The 22977-nt window shown below is 42.4% G+C and overlaps 1 protein-coding gene and 1 pseudogene across 12 annotated transcripts in view, besides 2 other annotated features; one reads left to right on the forward strand and one right to left on the reverse strand.

The window, feature by feature from the left end:
• The window catches only part of SLC8A3 (solute carrier family 8 member A3), a 145191-nt gene extending 140740 nt beyond the window's left edge, over positions 1-4451 (reverse strand). For 8 of the 11 annotated variants that reach the window (NR_104122.2, NM_001438068.1, NM_182932.3 and 5 more), the window contains exon 1: positions 3425-3997. The gene's annotated coding sequence lies outside the window, so the exon portion shown is untranslated. Of the gene's footprint in view, positions 1-3424; positions 3998-4354 lie in introns of those variants that run through there. The other 3 variants (XM_047431711.1, NM_001438069.1, XM_017021606.2) reach the window with 1 other exon arrangement.
• Positions 2154-22977, forward strand: part of LOC646548 (ADAM metallopeptidase domain 20 pseudogene) — a 45476-nt pseudogene continuing 24652 nt past the window's right edge. The window contains exons 1-2 of the transcript NR_135825.1: positions 2154-2278; positions 7415-7567. The product of NR_135825.1 is annotated as an ADAM metallopeptidase domain 20 pseudogene (transcript). The remainder of the gene's footprint in view (positions 2279-7414; positions 7568-22977) is intronic.
• Positions 3432-3571: a silencer, noted in NCBI's record as "silent region_5884". NCBI's record gives its function as "represses an Ori minimal core promoter by ATAC-STARR-seq in GM12878 lymphoblastoid cells {active_cell/tissue: GM12878}" and the evidence as "EXISTENCE:reporter gene assay evidence [ECO:0000049][PMID:35858748]".
• Positions 3642-3971: a silencer, noted in NCBI's record as "silent region_5885". NCBI's record gives its function as "represses an Ori minimal core promoter by ATAC-STARR-seq in GM12878 lymphoblastoid cells {active_cell/tissue: GM12878}" and the evidence as "EXISTENCE:reporter gene assay evidence [ECO:0000049][PMID:35858748]".

Below are 22977 nucleotides of genomic sequence, written 5' to 3' on the forward strand. Positions count from 1 at the left end.
TTTTTTCTTTTCTTTTTTTTTTTTTTTTTTGAGATGGAGTCTTGCTCTGTCGCCCAAGCTGGAGTGCAGTGGCTCATTCTCGGCTCACTGCAACCTCTGCCTCCCAGGTTCAAGCGATTCTCCTGCCTCAGCCTCCTGAGTAAGTGGGATTACAGGTGCCTGCCACCATGCCCAGCTAATTTTTGTATTTTTAGTAGAGACGGGATTTCACCATGTTGGCAAGGCTGGTCTCGAACTTCTGACCTCAGGTGATCCGCCTGCCTCGGCCTCCCAAAGTGCTGGGATTACAGGCGTGAGCCACCACGCCCATCCTATTCCTTTCTTTTTATCTAATCTCAATAGTTTGAAAAGAAGTCCAGATGTGTGACACATTTCCCAAATCCTGATCATGGGCAATGACTGAATCATGCAGGCTGGGGAACATGCCTACTATCAGTGCCCATAAGTAATATCAACAACTGTGCCCAGAGAATGCAAGAGGAACCATCCTGCACAGGCAAAGGGCAGGGCCAGGGCAAGAGGACAACCTATCGGCTTTAGGGTCCCATCCCCTGGGGGAGCACAGGGCATGGGAATAGTTTTAACAGGGTCAGTTCAGTAAGCATATTCTCCCTTCTCCGACCAGGAAGCTGTAGGTGGCAGTGTAAAGGAGAGCTCAGAAGAGCAGGAACAGAGAAGGAAAGAATGTAATTGTTCCTCCAATTCCACTCATTCAACCAACATTTACTGGGCACCTATCCCATGCCGGGCACAGTGCTAGGCCTTGGGGACACAGTTTCCTCCCTTTGTGGAGTCTGTTATCTAGAGGTGTGCCTGGCATTACTTAATCACATACATAAATTTAATGGGCGTCTTTAAATTACTTCAAAAATATAAGTTCAGATTATGAGTGTTTATGAGAAAAGGGTCCATTCTATTTTATTTGCATCTGGACTTAGCACATGCCTGACAGAGTAGGTGGCTGTTGAATATTTATTGAATAAATGGCTAACCGAATGAATAAACAAATATTTTTCTTTTGGAGTCCAATGGACTCCACGGCCAAATATGGCTTGGCTGTGTCCCCACCCAAATCTCATCTTGAATTGTAGTTCCTATAATCCCTACGTGTCCTGGGAGGAAGCCAGGGAAGTAATTGAATCATGGGGGCAGTAACCCCCATGCTGCTGTTCTTGTGACAGTGAGTTCTCACAAGATCTGATGGCTTTGTAAGGGGCTTTTCCCCCTTTTTTTCGTCACTTCTTGCTGCCGCCATGTGAAGAAGGACATGTTTGCTTCCCCTTCCACCATGATTGTAAACTTCCTAAGGCCTCCCCAGCCCTGTGGAACTGTGACTCTATTAAACCTCTTTCCTTTATAAATTACCCAGTCTTGGGTATGTCTTTATTACCAGTGTGAGAACGGACTAATACAGGTGTATAATAAGCAGGGATGTGGCCTAGTCAGGGAGAATATGAAAGGCTTCCTTGAGGAAGTAACTAGTGAGCTGAGAGCTGAAGCTTGAGTAGGAGTACTTTAGGAGTATGTTGGAAGAAGAATAAAGCATTCCAAGCGGAGGAAACTGCATGAATGGCCTTCCCTTCTCCATCAAGTTAAAGAAAGAACCACTTCAACCAAGTTCAGTTCTATAGGCCTTATCTGCTTCCTCTCAACCCAGTATCTACATTTCATTTAAAGAAAAAGGAGGCTACAAAGTGGACTTGTGTGTGGGGACTGCTGCTGGGCATTGTAGATTGCAATGAGGGGCTGGGTTGATCAGTCCACATCTAGTTACCCTAAGCTTTGACCATCAGCCATCCTCCTTTGGAGACCTGCAATGCATGAAGGGGCAGGTTCCTCTCAAACTTGGATCCAGCCAGTGACGCCAGCAAAAAGAAGCCCCAGCCCGAAGCCAAGAGCCCATAAAGGGTGAACTGATCCCCCTATTTCAGGAAGAGCATGGCGCAGCAGCTATATTTGAAAATCGAGGTAAACAAGAGCTCAGCTCAAGTGGATGGGGCACGACAGCTGTGGAAGATTAATCACACGCCGCTGCAAGTCACCGGGTCGCCAGGGGCCGAGGAGGCTTCCCTTTTGGTGCCCCACCGGAAGGCCGGATGTGTTCCTATCACGTACCCACATTCCACCCCCGCTCAACTCCCTCCTCCCCCCACCCCCTTCGGGTGTTTCTTGACCACCCAGGAGCTTGGCTGCGCCTGCTGCAGTCTGCGTTTCTGATAAATTGAAACCAGTTTTAATTCTTCTGCCCGGGAGACCTAACCGCCGAATGCGTTCGGAGGTATGTTTTTTAATCGCCAGGAAAGGGGGAGAGAGAGAGAAAGAGAGAGAGAGAGAGAGAGGAAAGGAGGAGAGAAGAGAAGAGAAGCGGGGGGCGGGGGGAGAGAGAGAGAGAGAGAGAAGGAAGCTGCGATGAGCGGGTAAATTTATGGTACTGCATTAAAGGCATTTCTTCTATTTAACCCCACCCCGCCACCACCACCACTACCACACCGTTAAAAATAAAATACAATGAATTAAGACGAAGAACTGCTTTTTTCCCCGGAGCAAATTGCTTTCATCATCTTTCCCAGTGGCTCGGGTCCTCTGGGCAGGTCAGCCAGGGCCTGTAGGAGCAGCAGCGCTAGCCTCTGAATCAGGGCTTTGACTGTGTGTGTGTGTGTGTGTGTGTGTGTGTGTGTGTGTGTGTCCGCGCGCGCGTGTGTGTTGGGGGATCGGGGGAGGGTTAGTTATATATTTCGATTCTCTCCACCGAGTCCCGGATCACGCAGACCACCAGGGGCTGGAGAGTGCAGCACTGGAGAAACCCTCCTTCTCCCTCGCCCCCTTGGCCCCAGCGGTGGGTGCTCTGGGGCTGCAGCTCCCGACCCGCGGCGGTGGAGTCCCGAGATTGGGGTGAGCGCGTGCGTGCGTATGTGCACGCGGGCGCGCGCCGAGTGGATAACGCGCTTCCCTGCTAGCCCCCAAACCCGGCGGACACTCACAGCACCAGAAGCACAACACGCCCTGGCCCAGGTGGCACACATATGCCGACATGCATCCAGCACACACAACACAGCAGTCAGTCTCCCCAAACAGCACCCGCTACCAACCCAGCATGCTCACGATCCAACTGTACCCACCTGCCCAGGCATCTCTCTCTGCCCCTCCCCACCCGGCGGCACCCTCCTGTAGACACCCACTCTGCCAGATCTGCCCCCCCAACACTGCATACACAATGTACACTTTCCGGGGCACCCTCACCCCACTTCTCCTGGCACTAAATCCACAGGAAGGCGGTTCATATGAATGATCTTGAGAAATAACTTAACCCCGTTACTCACAATCAGGGATCCTCTTAGGGGCATCCCAAGCCCCCCAACCTCTACCTCCCATGTCTCGGCTGCCCGCTAAGGGGGAAGGGCAGGAGGCTCACCCCATTACTCACCGTTTCCTCTCGGCCTCCCGAGCGGAGTGGGCAAGGGAGGGGGGTGAGGAAGGTACGCGATGCCCCCGCCGCCCGGCGCCTCACCGGTCGCAGCGGCTCATCGCCCCCGCGGGCTGCCCGCCGGCCGCAGCCGCGTCCGGGGCATGTCAGTCCGCCGCCGCCGCCCTCCCGCCGGGGTTCGTGGGCTCGCAGCTGTCAGGGAGCTGCGGGGCAGCGCATCTGGAGCGCGGGGTCTGGGAGGGAGGGTGTCTGGGGCCAGGGCGAGGGGCCCCGGGAGGGGTCCTTCCGCACGGATTTCAGAAAGAGGGAAACCCCGACCCAGAGCGGTGACTGGAATCTACGCCCGGGAGAGGCCCGGAGTCCCGGCCGCGGGCGGCGGGGGATTCCTGCAGGAAGGGGCAGGAAGGCAAGCAGCCCGGCGCGCCCTGGCGGCTCCGAGGGACCTGGGCTCGGGCTTGCGGTCGCGTCGCCTGGGCTTTCCCTGGGCTGGGAGCGCGCCGGGTCTCCGCCTTGCACGCTGTCACCGCGGGAGACGTCTCGGCCTCGCCGCGCGCAGAGGGGACGCGCGGAGAGGCTGGTTTCTGGGCGAGCGGAGAGCTTTGCCCATTAAGCTGCCGGAAGAAGCCAAATCAAAAAGCCAATCTCCAAGCCTCCAAACGGAACGTCACCCTATCAGCTGGGAGACAGCGCCGCACTGACTGACAAGCCGCGCATATTTATCCTCGCGCGCGGAGGGGAGACTCTCAGAACGCTCCTCGACCAGCAGCGAGGAAGTCGAGCCCGCATCCCGCATCCCGCATCCCGCATCCAGAGCCCCCGAGGGACGAATTCAGATCCAACCCCTGCCCCGCGGCCACCCACCCTAGTCGTTGGAGCCTGGCGCCCGCGCCTCCCGGCCGGCAGCACGTCAAAACGGCGGCGCGTCCTGACCTGGATTCCGCCGAGTTGGGAGCTCCAGGCAGCAGGCGGGCGCGCGGCACCGGCTTTCCCCTTGTCCTCAGGAGACGCTGCCTGCAATTCCGAAATTAAGTCTCCACCAAACACATCTGTGGTTTTTAAATATAGCAGGGAACTATTACCCAGGCAGGGTCCACCCAGGCCTAGGGGAGGAGTTGAGGGGGATGGAGATTGGCAGCGGAGGGAAAAGAAAACTCCTTTTTTCCCCCTCTTTTTTTCTTCTCTTCTTGGTGCAGAACCCAGCCTGTCATTTTCTCAACCCAAGTCAAACAACAGTTTGTGAGAGACGCTTGGGTGAGCTCTGGTATGTTGGCTTTTCGGGTTTCTAAAGCTAAAAATAAGAGGGGGCTGCCTCCCAAATTGCTGCTTACTCTGGGCCTGGAGGCTGGAAGAGAGCTGGTCCTTTGATGCAGCAGCGGGACTAGGGCTTGGGGCTTGGCTCAGGCGAAGTGTACACACGTAGCCTTAAATCAGATGCCTGTAATTTCTGCTATATTTGTCAGGCTTGGTCCTAGAGGCATGCGGGGTGGGCAAGCCACTCCTAAGAATGGGGTTTCAAGCCCTCAGCTTATCGGTGGCATTAGGCAGATCTAAAATGAGCCTGGTGGCTGGCCTTCTGTAGCGACACCAGTGCAGAAAAGTCAGAATGTAAGGGCAGGAAGTTGTTCTCTTTCAGGCCTCTCTGCTGCCTGAGGCTAAGTGTGAGGGGCCAACAAATGATAATAATACTTACCAAATAGCAGCACCTTTTAAGGGCCAGGAGTGGTGCTAGTGAATTTGATTGTATTACCTCATGCCATCCTACTAAAACTCTGTGAGCTAGGTACAATTACCAACTCCATTTTTTTGTTGAGGAAATTGAGCCTTAGGTTAAATAACCATCCCAAGGCCACGTGCAGCAGAGCCAAGGATTGAAATAAAATGCAACCAACCGGAGTTGTGCTGAGACGTCAACAGTGTGTGTGACTCCTGAGATCCCTGGCTCCTTTGCCCGGCTGCTCTGGAGCAAGGCTTGGTTCAAACAGATTAAGGGGGTGTAGAGACTAGGGAATCTCTAAGCCTGAGATGGCAGGAGGTCTTTGCTGGTCCTTTGACTCAGTGTTCCGTTAGCAAGCTGTGTGGTGGTTTCTGGCCTGAGTCCGGAGTCAGAATCCTGGATGTGCTCAGTAGGAGCAGTAGGAGTGCTTTCAGACCCCTGAACCTTTATGGGTCTTGAATTTCATTTAAAGTTAGGGCTGGGACTGACTTTGAAAGGTTTCAATAGCTTCTAAAGTTGTGGGATCTCAGGATATGTCAGTTACTGGGACTTACCTTGTGTCTGCTCCCGTGGAGAGTCACAATGCTGAGTCTACACATTGAGAGTCTACAGTAGAGACAAAGAGATGGCTAATGGGCACCTAAATTGATAGAGTTTTTAGGTAGGGCAATTTTGAAAGATACATCAAATTCCTTAAAAACGTGAATGCCTGTGACCCAGTAATTTTACTGGAAGAAATTTATTCTATGGCAATCATTAAGGATATGCTCAAATATTTAGTTACAAGGATATTCATGGTAGTGTTTTTAAGAGTGAAAAATTGGAAACATCTTAATTTTCCAACACAACAAATTGGTGAAGTAAACATGTTTTGTTGACATAATGCTGTATTCTACCACTGTAAAAATACAGATGCAGCATTCTGTGTACTGGTGTGGAAAGGTTTTTATAATATATCGTAGACAGAGAGAAAAAAAACCCCAGAACACAGTGTAACACAGCATGTGCGGGGGTGGCGGGGTGGGGATGAATGCCCTGGCAGCATAAAAACCCCAAAATGGTAGTGGTTATCTCTTGGTGGTGGGATTTCTGGTGATTTTGTTTCTCTTTGTATCAATCAACTTTATTGAGGTGTAATTTACATACAACAACTCACCTTTTTTCTGATCTATGCTTTATGAAGGCATCAAAAGCAAGGTCTAGTGCACAGGCTAAATGACTATCTCAGTAGTGAGGAACATGAATCTGCAAAACTATCCCAGTAGTGAGGAACATGAATAATATTTCAAGATACCTGCAAAAACTAACTGATGATATTAAAATATCTGACATTTCTAATGGAGATAAAGTTACAGGTATCCAAACATCACTACTACTACTAAAAACTCACCTGTTTTAAGTGTATAGTTTGAAGAGTTTTTATACAAGTACATACATGTAGAGCAACAACCTCAGTCAAGACATAGAACATTTTCATCTCCCCCAGAAGTCCTCTCAGGCCCCTTTATACTCATCCGCTCTTCCCACAGGCAACTATTGATCTGCTTTCTGTCACTGTGGCTTAGTTTTGCTTGTGCCAGAATTTTATTTGTTTGCTTGTTAATATCTATTGATATATTTTCAGTGAACATTACCTATTCACTAAAACTGAACCAGCAACAACAACAGAATTGGTCATGTCATTTTTTTAGAACTACCAAACAAAACAGACAGGAACCTTGTCTTCCTCTTGTCACCTGTGACAGGGCAATGCTGCGGGGAGGAAGGCAAGAGGTGCCAAAGCATGTTCAACCAACGCTGTCGGCAGAGCTGACTTGCGTAGGTTCCTCTGAGTTCTAGGTAGACTGAAATAGCAAAGCCCAGCTCTGCATTCTGAGCCTCAGTGTCCTCACCAGTAAAATGGGAATAATAATAATTATTATTATTAATAATAATAATAATTATTATTATTATTATTAATTATTATTATTAATAATAATAATACCCACCTCGTGAGGTTGTTGTGAAGCTTCAGTGAGATTACAGTTTCTGGTACAGACCAATCCCCAAATATATATCAATTCTCCTTCTCCCCTACTTTTGTTCTCCCCCAACCCTGCTTCTCTCCCATCTTAAGTTCTACAGCCAACCTTCACGTGGCCTATGAAGTCTCAGACTGCTTTCAACTCTGGACATTCTCACTTCTTTTTTTCTCCCCACTACATGCATACAGGGTTGGAAAACATTAAATGTAATGACACCGTACTTGCATTTCTGCCATTGTTACTTATATCTAGCTGTACTGGAACCCAAGGAGATGTTCACAAGGAAGATGGAAAGTAAGCTGTGTAACATCAGCATTGGGAGCAAGAGCCACAAACCTCATTTTCAAGTTGGGAAGAAACTCAGGACCCGAGAAGCTACAGGATTCAGCCCAGTCACAGAGCTTGGTAAGAACTAGACAGACTCTTTTATGGACTGAATTGTGTGTCCCAAAACTTGTGTGTTGAAGCCCTAGCCCTTAGTACCCAGAATGTGCCTGGGTTTTGAGACAGGGTCTTTAAAAAGGTAATAAAATTAAAACAGTGCCGTCAGTGTGGGCCCTAATCCACTATGACTGCTATCCTTATAAGAAGAGGAGATTAGGACACAGACAGACAGAGGGACAACCTTGTGAGGACACAGCGAGAAGGCAAGCCAAGGAGAGAGAAATCAAATGTGCTGACACCTTGATGTGGGAGTTCTAGGCTCCAGAACTATGAGAAAATAATTTCTGTTAGTTAAGCCACTCAGTCTTTGGTATTTTGTCATAGTAGCCCTAATTCTGTGAGTCCTTGTCATAGAATACCCTTTCTCTAGAGGCTGAGCAGCAAGTAATAGGGCAGATGGGATGAATAGTGGGAAGGGACCACATGGCTTCTTGGTGGGGCCCCAGTATTTGCCATTATGCTGCAGAACTCCACAAGTCAGTGCCTCTCCAAAAGCGGGGCCTCAGGCACTTCATAAGCAGACGACCTGCCAGTCCTGGCCACCAGTGGCACTGCATCCCACACAAGCCACAGTGTCTCTTCTCACAAGCAACCTAGGTGCCAGCATTCCACAGCCCTTGGACTATACAATCTGATAGCAGTTGAGAAACAACAGCAGTCAAGTGGAAGCTAAAAGTAAGTTCTGGAACAGCTCTGTAGGGAGGATGGAAGTTTAGTAAACCCTGTCTGATAATAGGGTATTTATTTAGTGAGACATAATTCTTCCCTATGCGTTATATTATTTTTAATCTCATTATAACTTGTATTTCAAAAATTTGTCAATTATTTATTTTTCCTTTTATAAAGTTTATTGCAGTAGGATATACATACAGAAATGTGCACAAGTCATGACTATAGCTCAAAGAATTTTCACAATGTGAATATATTTTATTTAATCATCATCCAGAACAATAAATATTACCAGTACCCCAGCAGCTCCCCTCGTGCCTCTCCCAGCGATGCTTCTTCCTCTTCTCCAGAGGGAACGGCTCTCCTGACTTCTAAAACCACACATTAATCTTATGTGACTTTGAACTCTACGTAAATGGAAGCAGATGGAAAGTACTGTTTTGGGGGTTCTTTGCTCAGCATAATTTTGGTGATGTTCATTCATATTGTTGTGTGTAGCAGCAATTTGTGATTTTTCATTTATGTATAGTTTCCTTTGAATGAATATGCAACTCAACTTTTTATTCTGCTCTTGATATCTAAATTGTTTCTGGTTTTTTATTTTTTGAATAATGCTGCTGTGAACATTTGCCTACACTCTCCCTCTCCAAGATTGTTTGATCACATTCTTCTCAGCACTTAGTATTGTCAGACTACTTAAAATTAGTCATTCTGGTGGGTATAAATTTGACTTTAATTTGTGGCTTTAATTTGCACTTTTAAAAAATTTTACTTTAAATTCTGGGATACATGTGCAGAACATGCAGGTTTGTTACATAGGTATACATTGCCCTGGTAGTTTGCTGCACCCATCAACCCATCATCTAAGTTTTAAGCCCCGCATGCATTAGGTATTTGTCCTAAATGCTCTCCCTCCCCTGGCCTCCCAAATACTGACAGGCCCCCATGTGTGATGTCCCCCTCCCTATGCCTTCTCATTGTTCAACTCCCACTTACAAGTGAGAACATGTGGTGTTTGGTTTTCTGTTCTTGTATTAGTTTGCTGAGAATAATGGCTTCCAGCTTCATCCATGTCCCTGCAAAGTATATGAACTCATTCTTTTTATGACTGCGTAGTATTCCATTGTGTATATGTGCCACATTTTTCTTTACCTAGTTTATCATTGGTGGGCATTGGGCTGGTTCCAAGTGTTTGCTACTGCAAATAGTGCCACAATAAACATATGTGTGCATGTGTCTGTATAGTAGAGTGATTTATAATCCTTTGGGTATGTACTCAGTAGTGGGATTGGTGGGTCAAATGGTATTTTGTTCTAGATCCTTGAGGAATCGCCACACTCTCTTCCACAGTGGTTGAACTAATTTACACTCCTACCAACAATGTAAAAGCGTACCTATTTCTCCATATCCTTGCAAGCATCTGATATTTCCAGACTTTTTAATGATCACCATTCTAACTGGTGTGAGATGGTATCTCATTTTGGTTTTGATTTGCATTTCTCTAATGACCAGTGATGATGAGCTTTTTTTCATGTTTTTTGGCCACATAAACGTCTTCTTTTGAGAAGTATCTGTTCATATCCTTCACCCACTTTTGATGGGGTTGTTTGCTTTTTTCTTGTAAATTTGTTTAAGTTCCTTGTAGTTTCTGGATGTTAGCCCTTTGTCAGATGGATAGATTGCAAAAAATTTCTCCCATTCTGTAGGTTGCCTGTTCACTCTAATGATAGTTTCTTTTGCCGTGCAGAAGCTCTTTAGTTTAATTAGATCCCGTTTGTCAATTTTAGCTTTTGTTGCCATTGCTTTTAGTGTTTTAGTCATGAAGTCTTTGCCCACACCTATGTCCTGAATGGTATTGCCTAGGTTTTCTTCTAGGGTTTTTATGGTTTTGGGTTTGACATTTAAGTCTTTAATCCCTCTTGAGTTAATTTTTGTATAAGGTGTAAGTAAGGGGTCTAGTTTCAGTTTTCTGCAGATGGCTAGCCAGTTTTCCCAGCACCATCTATTAAATGAGGAATTGTTTCCCCATTGCTTGTTTTTGTCAGGTTTGTCGAAGATCAGATGGTTGTAGTTGTGTGGTGTTATTTCTGAGGCCTCTGTTCTGTTCCATTGGTTTATATATCTGTTTTGGTATCAGTACCATGCTGTTTTGATTACTGTAGCCTTGTAGTATACTTTGAAGTGAGGTAGTGTGATGCCTCCAGCTTTGTTCTTTTTGCTTAGAATTGTCTTGGCTATATGGACTCTTTTTTGGTTCCATATGAAATTTAAAGTAGTTTTTTCTAGTTCTGTGAAGAAAGTGAATGGTAGCTTAATGGGAATAGCATTGAGACCGTAAATTACTTTGGGCAGTATGGCCATTTTCATGATATTGATTATTCCTGTCCATGAGCATGGAATGTTTTTCCATTTGTTTGTGTCCTCTCTTCTTTCCTTGAGCAGTGGCTTGTAGTTCTCCTTGAAGAGGTCCTTCACATCCCTTATAAGTTGTATTCCTAGGTATTTTATTTTCTTTGTAGCAATTGCGATTGGGAGTTCACTCATTATTTGGCTCTCTGCTTGTCTATTGTTGGTGTATAGGAATGCTTGTGATTTTCACACACTGATTTTGTATCCTGAGACTTTGCTAAAGTTGCTTATCAGCTTAAGGAGTTTCAGACTGAGATGATAAGGTTTTCTAAGTATACAGTCATGTCATCTGCAAACAGTCAATTTGACTTCTTCTCTTCCTACTTGAATATCCTTTATTTCTTTCTCTTGCCTGATTGCCTTGGCCAGAAATTCCAGTACTGTGTTGAATAGGAGTGGTGAGAGAGGGCATCCTTATCTTGTGCCGGTTTTCAAAGGGAATGCTTCTAGCTTTTGCCCATTCAGTATGATATTGGCTATGGGTTTGTCATTAATAGCTCTTATTATTTTGAGATATGTTCCATCAATACCTAGTTTATTGAGAGTTTTTAGCATAAAGGGATGTTGAATTTTATCAAAGGCCTTTTCTGCATCTATTGAGTTAATCATGTGGTTTTTGTCATTGGTTCTGTTTATGTGATGAATTACGTTTATTGATTTTCATATGTTGAACCAGGCTTGCATCCCAGGGATGAAGCTGACTTGCTTGTGGTAGATACGCTTTTTGATGTGCTGCTGGATTCAGTTTGCCAGAATTTTATTGAGGATTTTCGCACTGATGTTCATCAGGGATATTGGCCTGAAATTTTCTTTTTTTATTGTGTCTCTGCCAGGTTTTGGTATCAAGATGATGCTGGCCTCATAAAATGAGTTAGGGAGGAGTCCCTCTTTTTCTATTGTTTGGAATAGTTTCAGAAGGAATGGCACCAGCTCCTCTTTGTACCTCTGGTAGAATTTGGCTGTGATTCCATCTGGTCCTGGGCTTCTTTTGGTTGGTAGGCTATTAATTACTGCGTCAATTACAGAACCTGTTATTGGTCTATTCAGGGATTTGACTTCTTCCTGGTTTAGTCTTGGGATGGTTTATGTGTCCAGGAATTTATCCATTTCTTCAAGATTTTCTAGTTTATTTGCATAGAGGTGTTTATGGTATTCTCTGATGGTAGTTTGTATTTCTGTGGGAACAGTAGTGATATCCCCTTTATCATTTCTTAATGTGTCTATTTGATTCTTCTCTCTTTTCTTCTTTATTAGTCTAGCTAGTGGTCTATCTATTTTGTTAATCTTTTCAAAAAAAACAGCTCCAGGATTCATTGATTTTTTTTGGAAGGGTTTTTCGTGTTTGTATCTCCTTCAGTTCTGCTCTGATCTTAGTTATTTCTTGCCTTCTGCTACTTTTGAATTTGTTTGCTTTTGCTTCTCTAATTATTCTAATTGTGATGTTAGGGTGTCGATTTTAGATCTTTTCAGCCTTCTGATGTGGGCATTTCATTCTATAAATTTCCCTTTTAACATTGCTTTAGCTGTGTTCCAGAGATTCTGATACATTGTCTCTTTGTTCTCATTGGGTTCAAAGAACTTCTTTATTTCAGTAGTCATTCAGGAGCAGGTTCTTCAATTTCCATGGAGTTGTGTGGTTTTGCGTGAGTTTCTTAATGTGGAGTTCTAATTTGATTGCACTGTGGTCTGACAGACTGTTATGATTTCTGTTCTTTTGCATTTGCTGAGGAGTGTTTTACTTCCAATTATGTGGTTGATTTTAGAATAAGTGCTATGTGGTGCTGAGAAGAATGTATATTCTATTGATTTGGGGTGGAGAGTTCTGTAGGTGTCTATTAGATCTGCTTGGTTCAGAGCTGAGTTCAAGTCCTGAATATCCTTATTAATTTTCTGTCCCGTTGATCTGTATAATATTGACAGTGGGGTGTTAAAGTCTCCCACTATTATTGTGTGGGAGTCTAAGTCACTTTTTGTTTTATGAAGCTGGGTGCTCCTGTATTGGGTACATATATATTTAGGATAGTTAGCTAGTCTTGTTGCATTGGTCCTTTTACCATTATGTAATGCCCTTCTTTATCTTTTTTTATCTTTGTTGGTTTAAAGTCTGTTTTATCAGAGACTAGGATTGCAACCCCTGCTTTTTTTTTTCTTTCCATTTGCTTGGTAAATATTCCTCCATCCTTTATTTTGAACCTATGTGTGTCATTGCATGTGAGATGGGTCTCCTGAATACAGCACACTGATGGGTCTTGACTCTTTATCCAATTTGCCAGTCTGTGTCTTTTAATTGGGGCATTTGGCCCATTTACATTTAAGGTTAATATTGTTGTGTATGAATTTGATCCTGTCATCATGGTGCTAGCTGGTTACTTTGCACTTTAGTTGATGCAGTTTCTTCATAGTGTTATTGGTCTTTATATTTTGGTATGTTTTTGCAGTGGCTGGTACCAGTTTTTCCTTTCTATATTTAGTGCTTCCTTCAGGAGTTCTTGTAAGGCAGGCCTGCTAGTGACAAAATCCCTCAGCATTTGCTTGTCTGTAAAGGATTTTATTTCTCCTTCACTTATGAAGCTTTGTTTGGCTGGATATGAAATACTGGGTTGAAAATTATTTTCTTTTCTTTTTTTTTAAATTTTTTTATTTTTTTAAATTTTTTTAATTTTTATTTATTATTATTATACTTTAAGTTTTAGGGTACATGTGCACAATGTGCAGGTTAGTTACATATGTATACATGTGCCATGCTGGTGCGCTGCACCCACTAACTCGTCATCTAGCATTAGGTATATCCCCCAATGCTAACCCTCCCCCCTCCCTCAAACCCACAACAGTCCCCAGAGTGTGATGTTCCCCTTCCTGTGTCCATGTGTTCTCATTGTTCAATTCCCACCTATGAGTGAGAATATGCGGTGTTTGGTTTTTTGTTCTTGCGATAGTTTACTGAGAATGATGATTGCCCCCTACTCTCTTCTGGCTTGTAGGGTTTCTGCAGACAGAGCCACTGTTAATCTGATGGGCTTTCCTTTGTAGGTAACCTGGCCTGTCTCTCTGGCTGCCCTTAACATGTTTTCCTTCATTTCAACCTTGGAGAATCTGTCAATTATGTGTCTTGGGGTTGCTGTTCTTGAAGAATATCTTAGTGGTGTTTTCTGTATTTCCTGAATTTGAATGTTGGCCTGTCTTGGTAGGTTGGGGAAGTTCTCCTGGATAATACACTGAAGTGTGTTTTCCAGCTTGCTTCTATTCTCCCCATCACTTTCAGGTACACCAATCAATTGTAGGTTTGGTCTTTTCACATAGTCCCATATTTCTTGGAGGCTTTGTTCATTCCTTTTCATTCTTTTTTCTCTAATCTTGTCTTCACACCTTATTTCAGTAAGTTGATCTTCAATGTCTGATATCCTTTCTTCTCCTTGATCGATTCCACTACTGATACTTGTGTATGCTTCACGAAGTTCTCGTGCTGTGTTTTTCAGCTCCATCAGGTCATTTATGTTCCTCTCTAAACTGGTTGTTCTAGTTAGCAGTTCCTGTAACCTTTTATCAAGGTTCTTAGTTTCCTTGCATTGGGTTAGAACATTCTCCTTTAGCTCCAAGGAGTCTTCTATTACCCACGACCTGAAGCCTACTTCTGTCAGTTCATCAATCTCATTCTCCATCCAGTTTTGTGCCCTTCTGGACAGGAGTTGCGATCATTTGGAGAAGAAGAGACATTCTGGTTTTTGGAATTTTCAGCATTTTTATGCAGGTTTTTCCTCATCTTTGTGGATTTACCTACTTTTGATCTTGGAGGCTGATGACCTTTGGATGGAGTTTCTATGTATGGGGTTCCTTTTTGTTGATGTTGATGTTAGGGCTTTCTGTCTGTAAGTTTTTCTTCTAACAGTCAGGACCCTCTTCTGTAGGTCTGCTGCAGTTTGCTGGAGGTCCACTCCAGACCCTGTTCAGCTGGGTATCACCAGTGGAGGCTGCAGAACAGCAAAGATTGCTGCCTTTTCCTTCCTCTGGAAGCTTCATCCCCGAGAGGAACCAGCCTGATGCCAGCTGGAGCTCTCCTGTATGAGGTGTTTGTCGACCCCTGTAGGAAAGTCTCTCTCAGTCAGGAGGCACGGGGGTCAGGGACCCACTTGAGGAGGCAGTCTGTCCCTTAGCAGAGCTGGTGTGCTGTGCTGGGAGAATCCCTCTTATCAGGATCAGGTTCTCCCTTCAGAGCCAGCAGGCAGGAGTGACTACATCTGCTGAAGCTGTGCCCATAGTCGCTCCTTTCCCCAGGTGCTCTGTCCAAGGGAGATGGGGGTTTTGTCTGTAAGCCCCTGACTTGGGCTGTTACCTTTCCTTCAGAGATGCCCTGCCCAGTGAGGAGGTATCTAGAGAAGCAGTCTGGCCACAGCAGCTTTACTGGGCTGTGGTGAATTCCACCCAGTCCGGACCTCCCAGCCTCCTTAGCACTGTCAGGGGAAAACCACCTACTGAATTTACACTTTCCTAGTGACTACTGAAGTGGAAACTTTTTCATACACGTATTGGCTTTGGATGCCCTCTTTTGTTAAGTATTTGCTCAAGTTTGTGGCCTATTTTTCCATAAGGTCTTTTTCTTATTGATTTGTGAAGGTTCTTCACATATTCTGGATGAGTCTTCTGTCATCATACACATTGCAAATATCTTCTCCCAGTTAGTGGCTTGCCTTTTCATCCCTTTTATTGTGTCTTTTGATGAACAGAAGTTCTTACTTTTAATGTAGTCTATTTATCATGTTTTTTCTTTTTTATCCTAAATGTTGTCTGGTTCATGTTCCTTTGTCTACTCAAGGTTATGAAGATATTTTTCTGTGTTAGCTTCTAGAACTCTTACTTTCTAACTTTAAAATTTAGATCTACAATTCTTCTGGGATTGCATTTTTGCATTTAATATGAAGTAGGGGTGGAATTTTATTTCTTCCATATGAATATATAAATGACCCAGTAGAATTTATTAAAGAGAGTTCATTTTACCTGCAATGTCACCTTTCCTATGAATCAAGTTTTGTGTATGTATGGGTCTATTTATGGACTCTCTACTCTGTTTCATTGGTTTATTTCTCTCCTCTTGTATCGACATCACACTGTCTTAATTACTGTAGCTTACAAGAAATTTTAATATCTGGTAGAATGAGTGTTTATTCTTTGTTCTTCTTCATGAGTATCTTGGTTATTTTTGGCCCTTTGCAATTACACATAAATTTTAGAATCAGCTTGTCAGTTTTTGTAAAAATGCCAGCTGGGAAGTTAATTAAGATTGCACTGAATTTATAGATCACATTGGAGAGAATTGACATCTTAACAATATTGAGTCTTCTGACCTATGAACATGGAATATTTATTTATTTAGATCTTTAATTTCTCCAAGTGATGTCTTAACATTTTCAATGTACAGGTCTTGCACACAGTTGACCCTTGAAAAACAGGGGTTTGAATTTTGAGGATCCACTTATATGTATATATTTTTTCAACCAAAAGCAGATAAAAAATGCAGTATTTGCAGGATGTGAGACCTGCCTATACTGAGGGCCAACTTTTCACATATGCATGTTCCACAGGGCCAACTTGCAGGACTTGAGTATGCCTGGATTTGTGTATATGCAGGGGTTCCTGGAACTCATTCCCCATATTTATTGAGACAACTGTGTTTCTTTAGATGTATTCCTAGGTATTTGGGTTCTGTGATGTCACATAAATGGTATTATTTTCTTTTTCTTCTAATTAAACAAAATTTTATGTAAAATTGTTTCTTATGATTAAAAATTAAATTGATTTTTGTAAACTGATTTTGTATCCAGCAACATTGTTAAATTTACTTTAATTCTAAAAGTTTGTAGATTGTTTAGGTTTTTTTCCCTCATACATAACTATGCTTACACATTTCTTCCTTTCAAATCTTTTATTTTTGCAATGACTAGGATCTCAAATACATCAATAAATAGAAGTGGACATAGCAAGAATCTTTGTTTCTTTCTTGATCTCAATGGAAATGCTTTCAATATTTTCCCATTAAATATGATATTTGTTATTTTTTTAGAATATCTTTATCAAATTAAGGAAGTTCCCTTCTCTTCCTAGTTTCTTAAGGTTTCTCTTATTTTAGTCATAAACTTTTTTGCTTGCCTTTTCATTCCTTTTATTGTGTCTTTTGATGAACAGAACTTCATCAAATGCTTTCTTTGCATCTATTGAGATGACTGTATGAAATTTCTACTTAACCTGTTAAAGTGATAAATTATAATTAACTCATTTTCTAATGACTAACCAACTTTACATTCCTGGAATAAAGTCATATTGGTTGTGTTGAATTATCTTTTTAAGTGTATTACTGAATTTGGTTAGCTATTAAATTGTAAAGGACTTCTGTATCTACATTCATAGCAGAGATTGGCCAATAATTTTCTTTTTTTGTAATGTCCTTATCCGATTTTGGTATCAGGGTTTTCTGGCTTCATCAGAAGAGTTAGGAAGTGTTTTATCTTTATTCTCTGGACAAGTTTGTGTAACATTGGTAAAGTCGGATTTTCAAATGAGGGAATTAACATACTTAATACATTTTAATAGTTTTCTATGGCTGCTGAAACAAATTTCAACAAACTCAATGGCTTAAAGCAATGCAAATTCATTAAGTTTTACAGGTTAGAAGTTCAACACAGGTCTCCCTGGCCTAAAACCAAGGTACTACCAGGACGGCAGTCCTTTCCAAAGGCTCTGGGGGAGGATCCTTTTGCTTAAGGTCTTCCCACTTTCAATTTACAAAATTTTAAATTTACAAAAATATTTTTCTAAAATTCATTCTATTATTTTATATTTTACATTTAGATTTTTACTTCATCTAGAATTTTTTGAGCATGGTATGATGCAGGGGTCTGGTCTGCCTTCCTTCACATGCCAATTCTGTCAGCATGATTTACTAAATACATCATCCTTTCCCACTTTGTCAGATACTAAGACTCATATTTACTTGAATCAACTTTGGATTCTGTTTCATTGATTTATTGGCCTATATTGTGGCCAAGTCTATATTTTTGGCATTGTTATTTATTTATGTTAAATTAATAAATTTTATATTTTAGAGTAGTTTTAGGTCCACAGCAAAATTGGGCAAAAAGTAGAGAGTTTTCATACACTCCTATCCCCCTCTGTGCCATATTTTTATTGCATTAAATTTAGAGCTAATTGTAATATATAATAAGTTATCATCCTTGTATCTTTCCATAAAAATGTACTCCTCTCAGATATTCTTTCAGTGATCTTTAAGATTATTATATCCAGTGTGAAGAATCCCAAACTGGGATTCTGGTTGGAATTTAATTAAATATATAAATTAATTTAATTAAAAATATAATTATTTAATATAAAAATATATACACATTTTTATAATATATCATTCTATCTTAGAAAGTTGTCATTCCATTTAGATATCTTCTTCTCATATTTTAGTAAGATTTTATAGTTTTACTTATTTAGGTCTTTTGCCTTTCTTGTGAATTTTATTTCTAGGTATTTTATAGTTTTCATTTTTATTAAAAATGGGATTTCCTCCCTGTGACATTTAAGTTTGTTTACTAAAAGTAAACCTATTAATTTTTGTATCTTTATTTTGTATTCAGTTTCCCTATTCAATTCTTTTAATAACAATCTTTAACATTTATGGAGAACTTACAATGGATCTGGCACTGTTTTAAGTGTTTTATGTGTATTAGCTCATTTAATCCTGATAACATCTCTATAAGGCAGATACTATTATATCAGTTCCATGGATGAGGAAACTGAGGTCTAAAGTAGAATTTCTTAATTTTTCTAAGAAAACAATCATCTAATCTGAAAATTAAAAATTTGCTATATGTGAATATTTATACTGATTGTTTCATTGTATTTTTTTGTTGGATTGTCCAATACTTACAATATCGAATAACAGAAGAAATAGTAGACATATTTGACTTGTTTCTGATTTTAATGAAACTGTAATATCTTTCTAAATTAACCTTTATCTTTATCTTGAGACTGACCATAAGGACTCCCCAGTAGCCACTCTCTAGGAGAGCCTACACCAGGAGAAGAGTTAGGCTCAGGTGCGTGTGCCAGGTGATGTGCAGAAGAGGCTGCATAACAAAACACAGGAAATCACAGACACCTTCTGTTACTCACAGATCCATAGGAGAAGAAGGGTGCCCATGACAGCCAGCAGCAAGTCTGGAAACGGCAGCATGCCCAGCCAGCAGGTAGAGGGTGACAGAGAGAGAGAATCTGTGGCACTAAAGCCCTTATTGGGGTCAGGGCGTTATCCAAGCAGGTTTCCTGAGAGTTCTAGTTGGTGGGTTTAGAACAAACAGGCACACGTTACATGGGCTCACTGTGTAACTGAGAGGTGGTCAGTGCTGCATATCTGCACAGTCCATTCAGGGTGAGTCAGTGGGGCCAGGTAAGTAGGCTGTATCTAGCTGTCCCTCAGGGTAGTGGCCACCAGTAGGCAGTTGTTTAAGGTAGATAAATGGATTGACCACCTTGAGGAACCGGGAGAAGGAGTAGAACTGGAAACTGTGTGAAGGGAGACTGAGCCCTGCTCCTCAGATAAGATAGTACAGCTCATATTCAAAATGGACTTGGAGCAACATAAAAGTATAAGAATTCACTACAACAGTTGTAGAGAGAAATTACAGATGAACCCAAATGTGCATTGATAGTTTGATAAAGAGTCTATTTGCAAATAATAATAATAACATTAACAGTAACTAGGAAACAAAAGAAAAAACAAAAGGATTTATACATAAAAATTTGTGCAAGTATATTTAGCCTCAAAGAAGTTCTTGCTCAACCCCACAACTCTTTTAGTTCTTCTTCCTTCTGTAAGTAATAAAGTGCCCAACCAACAGCAGCTTAAATCATAATAAGTCCAGAGGAACATGATCTCAGGATATTTGAGCTCAGTATTGTCATCAAGGATGCAGGATCTTTCTGTACTTTCTGCTCAACCCTCCTTAGCTTGTTGACTTCCCCTCATGCTTGTAACGGCAAGATCATGAGATGGCAACCAGAGTTCCAGATATCATCTCCAAGTTCAAGGCAAAAACAAATGGGAAGGAAGTTCTATACCCTTTTATCAAGAAATAAACCCTATTTGTAATAAGCCCCCTCAGCAGACTTTAAAAAAAATGCATTGGCTACATCAGGGTCACAAAGACCCTTCTACCTGCAGAAGAGGCTGGAAAAAATGATCACAGGCTCATAATTTCTTATTGGCAATTCTGAAACCAAAAAAGTCTGAAAACTTAAAAGTCCTTTATAAGTTTGGTGCCAAAATGCATTTGGTGGCTGATATGGTTTGGCTCTGTGTCCCCACCCAAATCTCATCTTGTAGCTCCTATAATTCCCACGTGTTGTGGGAGGGACCCAGTGGGAGATGATCGAATCATGGAGGCGGGTGTTTCCGATGCTGTTCTCATGATAGTGAGTGAATCTCATGAGATCTGATGGTTTTAAAAATGGGAGTTTCCCTACACAAGCTTTCTTTTTGCAGGCTGCCATCCATGTAAGATGTAACTTGCTCTTCCTTGCCTTCCCAGCCATATGAAACTGTAAGTACAGTAAACCTCTTTCTTTTGTAAATTGCCCGGTCTCGGGTATGTCTTTATTAGCAGCGTGAAAATGGACTAATACATTGGCAAATTTGACCCAAACAGAGATGACACTATTTATAGTCCTTATTCATCATAATTAATGTGACGATCTCTCTGTTTTAATACAGAATTATTAATATGTTTGAAACAGGATGCTGTCTAACACTTACTGTGGTGTTAAATGACATACAGTACAGGGTCAGGCATGGTGGCTCATGCCTGCAACCCTAGCCCTTTGGGAGGCCAAGTCAGGAGGATCGCTTAATGACAGGAGTTTGAAACAAACCTGGGCAACATGGTGAGATGAGACCCCATCACTATAAAAAACAAAAAATTAGCCAGATGTGGTGACACATGCCTGTAGTCTCAGCTACTCAGGAAGTTGAGGAAGATCCCTTGAGCCCAGGAGTTCGAGACTGCAGTGAACTATAATTGCACCACTGCACTCCAGCCTGGGCAACAAAGTGGGTCCCCAACCAAAAAAAAACACAAAAAAACGAAACAAAACAAAACAAAAAACCCATACACTACATAGGCACTGTATCACTTTATTACCCTTCTAAGTGTCCAAAAGTTTATTCTGAAACATATCTGACCCCAGGGGTTTCAGATAAGGGATTATAGGCCTGTATCTGGCAAAGGGCAATGGGATTGTCATTTTTAGTTTATGTCCATCAGATCTATCTACTGAGGCAGGGCAGATTCATGTCCTGAACAAAAGCAGGGCTTTGTTAGCAAAGAAAAGAGTGGGGTGCAAATGGTTATCAGGAAGGCAACAGACCCATGTGATTGGTTTCTGGAGTAAATACTATAATGTAACAACTTTAGCAGTTTTTTGGCCACCCCTCCCAATTATTCAAAAGACCTCTTCCAAAGAGGGTAGAGAGGACTCAGAGACCTAAGGACTGGTTTTTGGAGCAGATTATTGTATTTGGTATGTAGCTTCATTGCCATCTCCCTCTCTGCTTTGTCAAAACCAACTTTCTCGAAGGAGCTGTCCTTCATGAATCCATGGCTCGATTTCCCCTGAACCCTTAACTGGAAGTTTGGCACCTGCTTCAACCAATTGACTAAGTTCATCAAAGGGACTAAGCTACTTTAAACTACATGGTTATAGCTACTTTTTATTCCTCATCTGACTTGGTCATGACGTTATTCACGGAAAGGACTCTCTCTTTGCCTTCAATAACCCATGCTCTTAGCTCTACTTTTCTTCTCTATCCAACTCTTTTAGACATCTTTGTGGGCTCCCCTCTTTCGGTCTATATTTTTTATAGCTATTTTCTTTTTTTTCTTTTTTTTTCTTTTTTTTTTTTTTTGAGACGTAGTCTCGCTCTGTTGCCCAGGCTGGAGTGCAGTGGCGTGATCTTGGCTCACTGTAAGCTCTGCCTCCCGGGTTCACGCCATTCTCTTGCCTCAGCCTCCCGAGTAGCTGGGACTACAGGCACCCGCCACCACACCTGGCTAATTTTTTGTATTTTTAGTAGAGACAGGGTTTCACTGTGTTAGCCAGGATGGTCTCGATCTCCTGACCTCGTGATCTGCCCGTCTCGGCCTCCCAAAGTGCTGGGATTACAGGCGTGAGCTGCCGCACCCGGCCTTTATACCTATTTTCTCTAGAGTTCTGCCCTTGGCCTTCTTTTCTCCTCACTTTACACACTCCCTGGGTGTTCTGGCCTGTTCCCGTGGCTCAAAAACCACCTAGATGCTGAAAGGTCTCAAATCTGTGTCTCCAGTCAGCCTTCCCTCCTGAGCTTCCCATGCATATCTCCAGCTGCCTCTGAGATTTCTCCTTCAAATATCATGCCAGCTCCCCAGGTTCATCAGTGCTCCATGCCCTCCAAACATGTTTCCTCTCATATTTCCCAAGTCAGTGCTGCCATCTTTCTAGTTCCTCAAGCCAGACACCTGGATGTCATGCCGGACTCCTCCTTCTCCCTCATCCTTTATCCAATCAGTAAACAAGGCCTATCTGTTCTACCATGGAAATAATTTCTCTGGAGTGGCTCACAGTCTTCCAACAAAATCTTTCTAAACATGTGTCATAATTATATAAAAAGTAAAAGGATGTGTTGCTGGATGTTAGATGAGGATGCCTATATGTTTTTAAGAAGGTCACTAAATGTCAAGTTTAACCTATGACTAGAAAAGAATACGTATGTCAGAATCTAGGGAAAGAAGGCAAAGAGGATGCTGTAACACTGCAAGCAGGGCATTCTTCTTATTCCATGACAATCATTGTCTATCCACTGTTGGCAAAAACAGGCTACAGGGGCAGCCCTTTCTACCTTTCTGAAGTATCCCATAGACATTTCATTTAGGGAGGCACACTTGGGTTAGAAGAACACAGCAGGAAGAGGGGCTTCAAAGGCATAAAATTCAGGGCTCCTCTTCAAGAGAAATGCTCTCTTCCACAGAAGATGAGCAAAGATCTTCCATCCCTTTGAATGTCCTCATGGTCATGGTGCACTGAGAGGGTGGGGAGAGGGTAGGATAGCCAAACTGAGACAGAAACCTGGATAAATAGGAAACGTAATCACCAAGAATAGAATGACAAATCTCTCCATTGGTCTAAAATGGAGGTAAACTGCTTCCTGATCTTGTATGATTTGACTTAGAAAATATATAACAATTATTTGACATTTACGTAGCATT

This window comes from Homo sapiens, chromosome 14 (genome assembly GCF_000001405.40).
Source record: "Homo sapiens chromosome 14, GRCh38.p14 Primary Assembly".
Taxonomy (NCBI): Eukaryota; Metazoa; Chordata; class Mammalia; order Primates; family Hominidae; genus Homo; species Homo sapiens.